Raw genomic sequence first — 13,465 nt, 5'->3', positions numbered from 1 at the left:
AAGGCCAGAAAATATTTCGTATACTTTGGTGCAATGCGGGTGTAGTTTTATATATATATATATATATATATATATATATATGATATATAAGATATATATAAGATATATATGAGATATATAAGATATATATGATATATGTATAAGATATGTATGATACATATATCTCTCTCCAGAGGACCTTTCTTTCTTCTCCCTTGTTTCTCCTTACCTTGTGAAGAGGAGCGGGAGAAGGGTCAATCTTTCCATCCCAAAATAGGAAGTTCAAAGGTGAGGAGGGTTTGCAGGGAAGGCCACTTAGAACAAAACAGGAAGTCATTTCCTTGGGAAATGAGTTCTTGGAGACTGACCATTAATGACAGAGCCATTCAGGGGTTGAGGATAGCAGAATTCTGGGGTGGAAGGTCCCCTGAGGCTTTAACTGTGATGTAATTACTAATCACGTGCAAAAGTCATGCTTATATTTACACTTCGGTAACATCCTGAAGATCTGGACTTCAAAAACCAGGCTACATCTGATAGCTAATTAATATGCTCCTCACATGCCCACGTTTCTTTTTGTACAAGAAAGCACAGGCTGAACTCATTAAAAAACAGTCATTAGACCAGAAAAATAAGTTACAGGCAAGCAGGCGCAGGAAAACTTATTTACAAAGCTCAAGGACTAAAACCAAAAACCAAACCAAAACAAAAAACCTGAAGAATAAACCAAGAAAACCCACCAACCTGCCCAGCTTTTAAGAGAAAAATAATTTAAATTTTGTAAAGATTGTAAAATAGCCTTAGGTTCTGAATTTCAGGTGGTAGAAATTAAGGTTGACTAGAAGCTTTGTGATAACTTTAGATAATGTTACCATCTTGACAGGGGCTGGGAAACTTTTCTGTCCCTCACAAGTCCCATAGGGCAGGCAGAAAACACTGCTTGCAGGAGGCAGATCTGGGTAAAGACTCCTGACTTTTTCAGCGTCATAGCACTTCTAGATTCAGCTGGCTTCAGCTTCGTCTGCTACTCAGCAGTGACTGAAGTAACATGATCTTTTTAAGCTTATGGCCCTGTGGTGTCTGGGCTCGCTGGGAACAGTCAGGAAGCAGCTAGCATCAAGATGAAAATAGAGCAAAAACTGATACTTCACTTCAATATGTCAGGCCCAGGTTACCATTCTGTGGATGGGTAAAAGCGAAATCAAGAACAAGACTTGTATGTGAATCTCAAAAATAGATGTGCATAGATCAGCTTCAAATATTTTCTCTATATGCCAATATCCCTGAATTCAGCTCTTTCTTATTTGTTTTAAGCATAAAAAATCCTATACTTCCACAGTGTGTCTCAAAGCAAAGCAAAGTCAATAGGGACCTCTTTCTAAAACCTTCCATAAATGTGGCCAATGGTTTACCAGGTGAACCGATGGCTGACTGAGGGCTAGATGGTGGTATTATTCTGCCCCCAGGTTGAGAAAGCAGGATTGTCTCAAGTGTCCTCAACCATCATTGCATGCACTACCAACTAACATTAACTGAGTCTTTATTCAGTTAGGAAGCTTTGATTTGCAAGTTAACAGAAAACCCAATTCCAGTTGCCTTGAGGTGATCCTGTGGTTTCATGATGTCATCAACAGTCGAGGTTCTCTTGCTTCTCTGCCATTATCCATGTGTTGGCTTCATATTAAGGATGGTTCTCCCTATGGTCATAGGATGATTCCTAGGATCCAACATGGGGAAGGGGCAGTTAGACTAAGGAGTGAACAAAACCCAGATCCTCATACTGATTGGCCAGTCATTGTGGCCAGGGTACTACTGCACTCTAAGTCTAGGTTCATTCCCAACTCATCTATCCCTGTGTGCACACTTAAAAAGAAAAAATATAAGTGAAATGAACAGGATAAGGCATTCCTTAGATATCTTCACATTCAAAGCCCAACTCTTTCGTTTTTTGTTTTTTTTTTGTTTTTTTGTTTTTTTACTATTTTTAGACTTAGAGTTGCTGATTTCTGGATTTGTCACACAATATTATCCTCTGACCATTAGAAACATTGGTAACACAGCATTTCTTAAAGGGTGCTCCATATAGCCTTCTGCTCAACATCAGCAGAAGTTTTTGACAAAAAGATGTTTGACATCTTAATGATAGTCCTTCAAAACAAATGAATTGATGACACCAACCTTTCATTGCTTTGGAATTCCTTTTATCCATTTCAAGAGATTTGGCAACTTTTCCAGTGCCTTACAATTCTTTTGTGTGTTTCTCAATAGCAAAACATAATAGACTTCATTTGTGTGTGTATGTATAGCTTTCTTAGGTTCCATAAGTGTCTCAATTGTTGCTCTGCAAGAATATAGGAAAATGAAGTAATTCTTCTGATAACAAAAGTTGCTTTACTAATATCAAATTTATGTTCCACTGCTCTGATTTTATGAATTTCTGCATTTGCAAAAACTTTTTCATTTCAGTGTCAAATCTTGGAGTAATATTTTAGAAGATTTTACTGTTTAAAAAAATAGAGGCCGGGCGTGGTGGCTCACCCCTGTAATCCCAGCACTTTGGGAGGCCAAAGCGGTGGGATCACGAGGTCAGGAGATCCAGACCATCCTGGCTAATACGGTGAAACGCCATCTCTACTGAAAATACAAAAAAATTAGCCGGGCGTGGTGGCGGGCAGCTGTAGTCCCAGCTACTCGGGAGGCTGAGGCAGGAGAATGGCGTGAACCCGGGAGGCGGAGCTTGCAGTGAGCCAAGATTGCGCCACTGCGCTCCAGCCTGGGCGACAGAGCGAGACTCCGTCTCAAAAAAATAAAAATAAATAAAAATAAATTTTAAAAAAAGGCCGGGCGCGTGGCTCACGCCTGTAATCCCAGCACTTTGGGAGGCCGAGGCGGGCGGATCATGAAGTCAGGAGATCGAGACCATCCTGGCTAACACGGTGAAACCCCGTCTCTACTAAAAATACAAAAAAATGAGCCGGGCTTGGTGGCCGGCGCCTGTAGTTCCAGCTATTCGGGAGGCTGAGGCGGGAGAACGGCGTGAACCTAGGAGGCGGAGCTTGCAGTGAGCCGAGATCGCGCCGCTGCACTCCCGCCTAGGCGACAGAGCAAGACTCTGTCTCAAAAATATGTATATAATAATAAAATAAAAAACAAAAAAATAGAGATGGAGTCTCACCATGTTGCCCAGGCTGGTCTGAAACTTCTGGACTCAGGCGATCCTCCACTGTTAGCCTCCCAATGTGTTGGGATTACAGGCGTCAGCCACTGCACCTGGCCCTAGAAGATTTTATAGAGCATTTAAAGTCAACTCATGGAGTACAAGCAATGTCCATAACTCAACTGAAGGGTCAACAATCTAAGCAGCTATGACTACATTGACGGGTGTGCAGGCAATGACAACTGTCACATCTGTTACTACAATAGCAGTCATAGGACACCACTAATTGTAATGCGTGACCCAATTTCAGACATGTTAAAATGTGAAAAAATGAGCAACTTAGAAATTACAAGCTTTGCTATTCTATAATCAAGTAGAGTTTAGTCCAGGATTGTAAGCGGGTGTCAACATTAGTAGATCTATTAGTCCATATGAACAGAAAACAGGAACAAAACTGCTTATCATATTAATAGATGCTGAAAAGAAATCCAGTTAAAATTGTAGAATTTCCTAGTCATAGCCCTAAGTAAAATAGAAATAAAAGCAAATCACTTAAATATAATAAAAATTCTTTATCGAACACTGAAAGCAAATTTCTTACCTGGAAAAATGTTGATTTCAATTAAATAAGGAACTAGCCCTTTATCTCCATAGTATTGGAGTATTAAAAATGCAATAAAAATGAAATTATGTAAACATTGGTAAAGACTATCACTTTTGCTAATCATATGATTTATCTTTATTTTTATTTTTTGAGACAGGGTCTTGCTGTGTCGCCCAGGCTGGAGTGCAGTGGCACGATCATAGCTCATAGCTTACTTCAGCCTTGAACTCCTGGGCTCAAGCAATCCTCCCACCTCATCCTCCTGAGTAGTTGGAACTGTAGGAATATGCCACTATGGCCCACTAATTTTTATTTTATTATCTTATAGAAACAGGGTCTCACTATATTGCTCAGGCTGGTCTCAAACTCCTGGGCTCAAACCATCTTCCTGCCTCAGCCTGCCAAAGTGTTGACATTACAGGCATGAGCCACTGGACCTGGCTTTATTTTTTTTTTTGTAGAGATGGGGTCTTGCTATGTTGACCAGGCTGTTCTTGAACTCCTAGGCTCAAGCGATCCTCCCACTTTAGCCTCCCAAAGTGTTCGGGATTACAGGCATAAGCCACCTTCTGGCTAACTAACCTCAGATATTCTATTAAAAGTGACTGGAATTAATAAAACATTATTTTCTAATAATAGAAAATTATAATATATAATGTATTATATGCCAGGGACTGTTCTAAACCTTCATATATGCTACTTTATTTAATCCTTGTAACAACCTTTACAAGGGTTATTATTACCCATTTTATGGATGAGGAAACTGAGCACAGAGAGTAACTTGCACAGGTCACACAGCTAGAACATAGTGGAGATGGGGTTAAGTCTCTTGCAGTTTGGCTCCATAACATTAAATGTATTGTTTCTCATGAGATAATTTAGAAAGATGGCAGGATGCAAGGGATACATGCAAATACCAATAAGCACCTATAAATGGACAGTGGAAAAATGTTCAATTCACAATTGTGACAAATACTCTAAAATACTTGGGCCTTTGGTGAACCAGAATTGCAGGACTTATATGAAAGAAACTAGAAATGTGATTAAAGTTCTTAAAATAAGATGAAAACAAATTTAAAAAAACCTTGTTCTTGATTTAAAAACCTTGATTATCATAAATATATTGAGTATCTAAATTTATATGTGTGTATATATATATATATATATATATATATATATTTTTTTTTTTTTTTTTTTTTTTTTTTTTTTGAGACAGATTCTCATTGTGTTGCCCAGGCTGGAGTGCAGTGACACTATCTCAGCTCACTGCAACCTCCGCCTCCTGGGTTCAAGTGATTCTTATGCCTCAGCTTCCTGAATACCTGGGATTACAGGCAATATATAAATTTAATTACACTCAAACTAGAACTCTCAAAGTATTTATTTTGAAAAAAAAAAAAACCCTGGTGCAGTATTTTTAATGTTAAGGTGTGGCAGACCCAATTGCCTGCCCAACAGTTATTCCCCACTTATTCCTTTCAAACAGACCTGCCACTGGGTTTAGGTATGGGATCACCTTCCTCTGAGAATAGGCCTCAGTTGGTCCTTACCTCAGACTAATGTGCCGAGACCAGCTCGGTTGGGGAGACTCTAACCCAGCAGCGCTAGAGGAATTAAAGACACACACACAGAAATATAGAGGGGTGAAGTGGGAAATCAGGGGTCTCACAGCCTTAAGAGCTGAGAGCCTCGAACAGAGATTTACCCACATATTTATTAACAGCAAACCAGTCATTAGCATTGTTTCTATAGATATTAAATTAACTAAAAGTATCCCTCATGGGAAACGAAGTGATGGGCTGAATTAAAGGAATAGGTTGGGCTAGTTAACCGCAGCAGGAACATGCCCTTAAGGCATAAATGGCTTATGCCATTGATTGTGGCTTAAGAATGCCTTTAAGAGGTTTTCCTCCCTGGGCGGGCCAGGTGTTCCTTGCCCTCATTCCCGTAAACCCACAACCTTCCAGCTTGGGCGTTAGGGCCATTATGAACATGTCACAGTGCTGCAGAGATTTTGTTTATGGCCAGTTTTGGGGCCAGTTTATGGCCAGATTTTGGGGGGCTTGCTCCCAACACTAATGAATTGTTGGTCTCAACCAGTAACTGTAATTAATTTCTATCCTCTTTTGCCAGTGATTGGTCCAAGGATGAGCATATGACCCAGTTCTGGCCAATGAGATACAAGTAGTCTATTGAGGCTTTTTTATTCTCAGAAAAAAACAGAGTCTCATAAGCATAGAGTTCTTGCTTCCTGCCTTTGGATCTGGTTGCAGTGCTCAGTTCTGTGCAGTCGTGTCATGACCATGAGGCACAAAGCAGAACATACTATCAACAAGCTGAGGTTGGTGAAGCAGGAGGCAGAGTCAGTTTTATGGCTAACACCGTTGCAGGATTGGTCTGATGCCGTCCAGTCTCCCTCTAAGCATCTTGTTAGGTGAATAGTAAAAGTTTGTATTGCTTAAATCAGTGTTAGTCAGTTTTCCTTATCACATCTCAAAATACCATAAAGTCATTGCAATTCAAATCACTATGGTATTGGTACAGTCAGATAGTAACCGTGTGATTTTGGGTGGAGACCAAGCAGTATTAACTTGACCCCTAGAGAGGCCAGAGACTGAGGTGGGCCACATGGCAGCCAACCAGGTTACGTGACTGAGCCTCAGTAAAGACTCTGGACACCAAGGCTGGGGTGAGCTTCTCTGGGTGCCACTGCTGTGTGTATTGCCACACACTGATGCCGGGAAAGCAACACTGTCCAGGACTCTCCAGAGAGAACACTGGAAGTTCCATGTTTGGAACTTTGCTAGAATCTGCCCTGTGTGTCTCTTCCCTTGGATGATTTCACTCTGTATCCTTTTCCTGTAATAAACTATAACCGTGAACATAACAGCTGTCAGTGAGTTCCGAGTTCCTCTGGTGCATTATCAAACCCACGGATCTTAAGGACCCCCAAACTCACATTTGGTGTCAGAAGTGAGGGTAGCATGGACTGTGCTACTTCTAACTCATTGATGTCTTTGATCAGTTTGGGCGCTTCTGGGTTATGCCAGCATAGTAAAACTAGTTAATAACTTTTCTATAGATTCAGTTTATTAGATTGTATTTTTCTGAAACATGGTCTATTTCCATTACGTTTAAAATGTACTTATTTAAAGTTGTTCCCTAATGATTTTCTAAAAACTGCTTCCACTGCCATTTGTCACAATACATGTGGACCTGGAGGACATTATGTTAAGTGATGTAAACCAGACTCAGGAAAATATTGCATTATCTCCCTTTCATGTGGAATCTAAGAAAAAAGAAGCCAAATATACAGAGTTAGAAAATAAAACAGCAAATACTAGGGGTGGTGGGGGGAACCAGGAGAGGAAATGGGGAGATGTAGGTCAGAGGATATACAAAGTTTGGATATGTGGGATGAGCAAGGCTCCAGGTCTAATGCACAGCATGAGGATTATAGGAAATAAAATTGTACTATATTTGGGATTCCTGATAAATAAGTGGATTTTAGCCATTCTTTTTTTTTTTTTTTTTTTTTTTTTGAGACGGAGTCTCCCTTTGTCGCCCCAGGCTGGAGTGCAGTGGCGCAACCTCGGCTCACTGCAAGCTCCGCCTCCCGGGTTCAGGCCATTCTCCTGCCTCAGCCTGCCGAGTAGCTGGGACTACAGGTGCATGCCACTATGCCTGGTTAATTTTTTTTTTTTTTTTTTGAGACAGAGTCTCGCTCAGTCACCCAAGCTGGAGTGCAGTGACTCGGTCTCCGCTCACTGCAAGCTCTGCCTCCTGGGTTCACGCCATTCTCCTGCCTCAGCCTCCCGAGTAGCTGGGACTACAGGCGCCCGCCACCACGCCAGGCTAATTTTTTTGTATTTTTTTAGTAGAGACTGGGTTTCACCGTGTTAGCCAGGATGGTCTCAATCTCCTGACCTCGTGATCCGCCCGCCTCGGTCTCCCAAAGTGCTGGGATTACAGGCATAAGCCACTGTACCAGCCCTCATTTTCACTGTTCTTGCCACAAAAGCAAACAAATAAAAATAGGTGCTCATGAGATGATGAATATATTAATTTGCTTGACTATAGTAACCATTTCACTATATGTATCCCATAACATTGTGTGTATACCTTAAATACACATGCTAACATTCATTTTAAAAATTAAAAAAATCTACCTGTAATTATCTCCCATTTCTTATCCTGAGATCAATTTCCTTCTCACTTTTTTGGCTTGAATTTAAAACTTTTTTGTCAGCTTTAGTAAAGTATAATTTTTAAATTTAGGTATAGTAGAGGTAAAATTTGCCAATTTTAAGTGTATGATTTGAAGACTGGTGACAGATGTACACAGTCATGTACCATCACCACCATCATCATCACATAGAACGTTTCTATTACCCTCGATAGTTCTCTCATACCCCTTGGTAGTCAATCCCTTCCCTCAGCCTCCTGGCTCCAGGAAACTGCTGATCTGTTTCCTATATTTCCTAGTCTTGCTTTTTGTAGAATTTCATACAAATGGCATCATGCAGTATGTAGTATTTTGTATTTGCCTTTTTTAAATTTTTTTTTTTTTTGAGACAGAGTCCCACTCTGTTGTCCAGGCTGGAGTGCAGTGGTGTGATCTCAGCTCACTGCAACCTCTGCCTCCTGGGTTCAAGCAATTCTCTTGCCTCAGCTTCCTGAGTAGCTGGGGTTACAGGCGCACACCACCATGCCCGGCTAATTTTTTTTTGTATTTTTAGTAGAGATGGGGTTTTGCCATGTTGGCCAGGCTGGCCTCAAACTCCTGACCTCAAGTGATCTCTCCATCTCAGCCTCCCAAAGTGCTAGGATTACAGGTGTGAGCCACTGCACCTGGCGTATTTGGCTTTTCTTACTTAGAATAATGCTTTTGAGATTCCTTCATGTTGTCACGTGCATTAGAACTCCATTCCTTTTTAATTGCTCCTAGATATTCCATTGTATAGATGTGCTTCAATTTGTTTATCCATTCACCTGTTAATGGATATATTTGATATAATCAGGTTGTTTCCAGGTTTTAACAATTATGAATAAAGCAGCTGGGAACATTTGAGTATTACCTTTGTTTGGACATACATTGTCATTTCCCTTGGATCAATATTTATGAGTGGTCACTGGTAAGTGTATGCTTAACTTTGTAAAATATAGTTGAACTCTTTTCCAAAGTGACTGTATTATTTTCATTCCCACCAGCAACACATGCAAGTTACTACTTGCAGATGGTTTTTTGGGGGAAAAAAACAGAAAAAAGTAGTTTCAGGCTGGGCGCAGTGGCTCACACCTGTAATCTTAGCACTTTGGGAGGTCGAGGCAGGTGGATCACCAGGGGTTTGAGACCAGCCTGGCCAGCATGACGAAACCTGGTCTCTACTGGCTGGGTGTGGTGGTGCACACCTGTAATCCCAGCTACTTGGGAGGCTGAGGCAGGAGAATCGCTTGAACCCAGGAGATGGAGGTTGCAGTGAGCTGAGATCGCGCCACTGCACTCCAGCTTGGGCAACAGAGCAAGACTTCATCTCAAAAAACAAACAACAGAAAAAAAAGAGTTCCAGTATATCCTTGCCGATAATAAGTGTTGTCAATTGTCCCTGGTGTTTCCTCCACCGACAGCATCCTAGCTACTAGACCCTTGAAGCCACTTTCAATGTTTTAGTACATATTGTCCAGTTTCTATAAAAATGCTGCAGCGATCCAGGGACAGTTAGGGCTCAGACTCTACATCATGTTGGGTACCTCTGATCCCATCTCTTCTCTTAGCCTTAGAAATCTCAACATCTCCATGAACCCAGCTTCTCCAGCCTCTCCTGGTTTCCAAGCATTGCATCATTTCTGCTTCCCTGTGGGGATGCTCCACTGTGACCCCCTTCAGCTATATGGGAATAGGAAACTTTTACTCCTCACTCGCTATTCCCAAGGGCTTCACTCTCAGCTCCTCAGATTCCCTGTTCAGGGAATCTGAACAGGAAGGAACAGCTGACATCAAATGTGCCTCTATCCCAGTTCTGGCCTTTCTCCTGACTGTTTCTGTGTCTGACTATGTGCTTGACATTGTATGTGCATAGAACAAGCTCTAGAAGGAAACTGCAAATCGGTAACAGTGGGTACGTTCTGGAGAGGGGGAGGTTCACTTTTCAATTTACAGACTTGTGTGTTGGCATTTTTTAAGAAAAATAATTTAAAAATAGCTACAATTTTTCTTTTTTTTTTTTTTTTTTTTTTTTTTTTTGCGACGGAGTCTTGCTCTATTGCCCAGGCTGGAGTGCAGTGGCGCGATCTCGGCTCACTGCAAGCTCTGCCTCCTGGGTTCACGCCATTCTCCCATCTCAGTCTCCCGAGTAGCTGGGACTACAGGCGCCCGCCACCACGCCCGGCTAATTTTTTGTATTTTTTAGTAGAGACAGGGTTTCACTGTATTAGCCAGGATGGTCTCGATCTCCTGACTTCATGATCTGCCCGCCTCAGCCTCCCAAAGTGCTGGGATTACAGGCGTGAGCCACCGCACCCGGCCAAAAATAGCTACAATATTAATAAATAAAAGTTCTCATCTTGTGTGCCCCTGCTCTGTATAGTGCTACCTAGATGGGCCTATCTCTCATTTAATTATTAATTACTATTAAAAACCATCTGCACTTTCAGTGAGGCTGGAAAGACACTCAGAGCTCCCAGAAAAACAGAAGCCTGTCTGGTGAGACAGGCTGCTCCATTCACTAGAGGGTCTCCCAAGAGACTCTCAGTTTTCGTCTAAAAGTATTTAGAGGAAAACAGCATTGTAGAGAGAGTCTAGGTTTGTCTAACACACTTCAAATTTTTGTCTCTTTTCCTGGTGTCTCATTCAGGATAGCATGTGTCCCAGATAGAAGAGTTGGTTGGGACAATAAAAAGCATTGTTTCCCAAACCATCAATAACTTGTTTTGGATAACACCCTGCTGCCACCAGCCAGTTCTTCTGAGAGAAGACAAAAGGCTCTGACCTGCCTCCAGGCACCTTACCTGCTGTTCTCTTGCTGATGTCATAAATGATCAACAGCATCCCCTCATAGCCACATTGTCAGGACACCTAGAGAGCTGTGTGGAGCCAGAAGATACTGTTTCTGCATCCCAGGCATGTTGGTGAGCCTCAGGTGGCTGGAGTGGCCAGGGCTTCTGCAGGAAGGACCTGAGAAGTGGACATTCTCCACACTCACCTCAGCCTCAGCAGAGGGGACATCAGCTCCAAGCTTTTGCCTGGCAGGGTCTCCTGTCTTGTGATTTAGAGTTCCTGTCCCCCTGATAGTTGCCATGAAAGTGGCCCTCGTGTAGCCTGCAAAGTGACGCCTATTCTCCACCCTTGGACCTGTGGCTTCTCTTTGATTAGACACTGTGCATACTCAGGGTGGCTGGCAATGGGGATGGATCCACCCAGGGCTCCTAGTGGGGATTCTTAGGGGATACTGTGGCCCTTTTCTAGAGCACTCACATTTCATTAAGAGGCCTTCACAGGTCTCAATCTCACATACCCTCTGCTATTCAGCCACATTGCCCTTCTTACATGTTTCCAAACACCTGGATGCCTTTGCACACATGCTGTTCCTCCAGCCTAGACTGCCCTTGCTTGTGCTTTTGCGCGGTGGCTCATGCCTGTAATCCCTGCACTTTGGGAGGCTGAGGCCGGCAGATTGCCTGAGGTCAGGAGATCAAGACAAGCCTGACCAACATGGTGAAACTCTGTCTCTACTAAAAATACAAAAATTAGGCGGGCATGGTGGCAGGCGCCTGTAGTCCCAGCTACTCGGGAGGCTGAGGCAGGAGAATCACTTGAACCCTGGAGGTGGAGGTTGCAGTGAGCCAAGATGGCGCCACTGCACTCCAGCCTGGGGAACGGAGCGAGACTCGTCTCAAAAACAAAACAAAACAAACAAAACAAAACAAAAAAACTCCTCCTCATCCATCAGTGCCATGTCAAATATTATCTTTGTAAAGCCTTTCTTCACTTTCTGCCTGAGTTAGTTCACTTCTGGGCTCCCATAGTTTGGTCCTATGTCTATTAGCACACTCCCTACCTCTCTCTGCCTCCTCCCTGCACAAGGATCTCAAGGGTAGAGGCTGTGCCCTTCATATCCACACTCTCAGGCAAAGGTTTGGTGATTGGTATTGAGAAGAATGGTTTGGCTGTCCTGCCAAACCATGTCCCATGTCCTGCTCTGGGATGGACATTCAGATTGTGGAAATGAACCCAGAGAGGAAAGTTTTGATGAATCAGCCCAAGTTTTCACTACATTTTTCTTTAAAAAGGATTCTGTGATTAACTGCACCCCAATTAGCAGGCACACCTAAAATATTAATCATTTAACTATCACCCACGGCCCACTGAGTCACTGTGCTGGGAGGGGCAGGAGGCAATGATTCCAAACATGTCTGCAAGTCTGATTCTCAGCCAGACCTTTCAACCATGCTACTCAGGAGAGAAAACCAAACTTTTCTTTCAAGGGAGAATGTATGGATTTCCCCCAGGGGGACAGCACGCAGGACTGAGTTTGAAGGATGTTTTCTGCACACCTAGCATGTAATCTCTGATATTTTCCAACAAGTCAATGCATGGCTTATCCAGCAAATTACTTACATTAATAGACACCCATTATCTCTACTGAAAAGATTTCCTAGATAATGCTGTGACTGAAGTTTATAATTATACTGCAGAATGCCAGACCTCTCTGCAGGGCCCAAGTTTAGCACTGTTCTAGCTCCTTCTGGTGGTACAGCTTTAGGACTTTATTGAATGCCAAAAATCTTAGCTTTGAGTGTCTACACTTCCTAAAATGAATGCCTCCTTGCAGCATCTGAAGTGTTAATTTTAATTTGTTCATTCTTCAAGAAGATTGGTGATGTTGTTGTTTTCATTTTTTTTTTTTTTTTTTTGAGACGGAGTCTCGTTCTGTCCCAGGCTGGAGTGCAATGGCATGATCTCAACTCACTGCAACCTCTGCCTCCTGGGTTCAAGCTATTCTCCTGCCTCAGCTTCCCGAGTAGCTGGGATTTCAGGCGCCCACCACCACGCCAGCTAATTTTTGTATTTTTAGTAGAGATGAGGTTTCACCATGTTGGCCAGGCTGATCTCGAACTCCTGACCTCGTGATCCACCCACCTCGGCCTCCCAAAGTGCTAAGATTACAGGCATGAGCCACTGTGCCCGGCCATTGTTTTTATTTTTTAGTTTAATTTTTACAATTTTTATCATTATTATTTTTTTGAGACAAAATCTCACTCTGTCACCCAGGCTGGGGTTCAGTGGTGCCATCTCAGCTCACTGCAACCTCCACCTCCCAGGTTCAAGTGACTCTCCTGGCTCAGCCTCTCCAGTAGCTGGGACTAGAGACACTTGCTACCACAGCCAGCTAGTTTTTGTATTTTTAGTAGAGACGGGGTTTTGCCATCTTGGCCAGGCTGATCTCGAATTCCTGACCTCAGGTGATCCACCTGCCTCGGCCTCCGAAAATGCTGGGATTACAGACGTGAGCCACCGTGCCCGGCCCTGTTGTTTGTAATAAGTAGTAATAAAAAGCCGGGCGAGGTGGCTCACGCCTGTAATCCCAGCACTGTGGGAGGCTGAGGCGGGCGGATCACGAGGTCAGGAGATTGAGACCATCCTGGCTAACACAGTGAAACCCCGTCTCTAGTAAAAATACGAAAAAAGAAAAAATTAGCCGGGCGTGGTGGCGGGCGCCTGTAGT

At 42.8% G+C, this 13,465-nt stretch overlaps 1 annotated feature.

The window, feature by feature from the left end:
• Nucleotides 2,993–3,165: a silencer, noted in NCBI's record as "fragment chr10:82163430-82163602 (GRCh37/hg19 assembly coordinates)". NCBI's record gives its function as "represses an EF-1alpha promoter that drives an FKBP-Casp9 reporter gene in an ReSE screen in K562 erythroleukemia cells {active_cell/tissue: K562}" and the evidence as "EXISTENCE:reporter gene assay evidence [ECO:0000049][PMID:32094911]".

The sequence above is a fragment of the Homo sapiens genome, chromosome 10 (assembly GCF_000001405.40).
Source record: "Homo sapiens chromosome 10, GRCh38.p14 Primary Assembly".
Classification (NCBI taxonomy): domain Eukaryota; kingdom Metazoa; phylum Chordata; class Mammalia; order Primates; family Hominidae; genus Homo; species Homo sapiens.
Note: the sequence above shows the minus strand (reverse complement) of the source record. Positions and strands in the feature narration are given on the sequence as shown.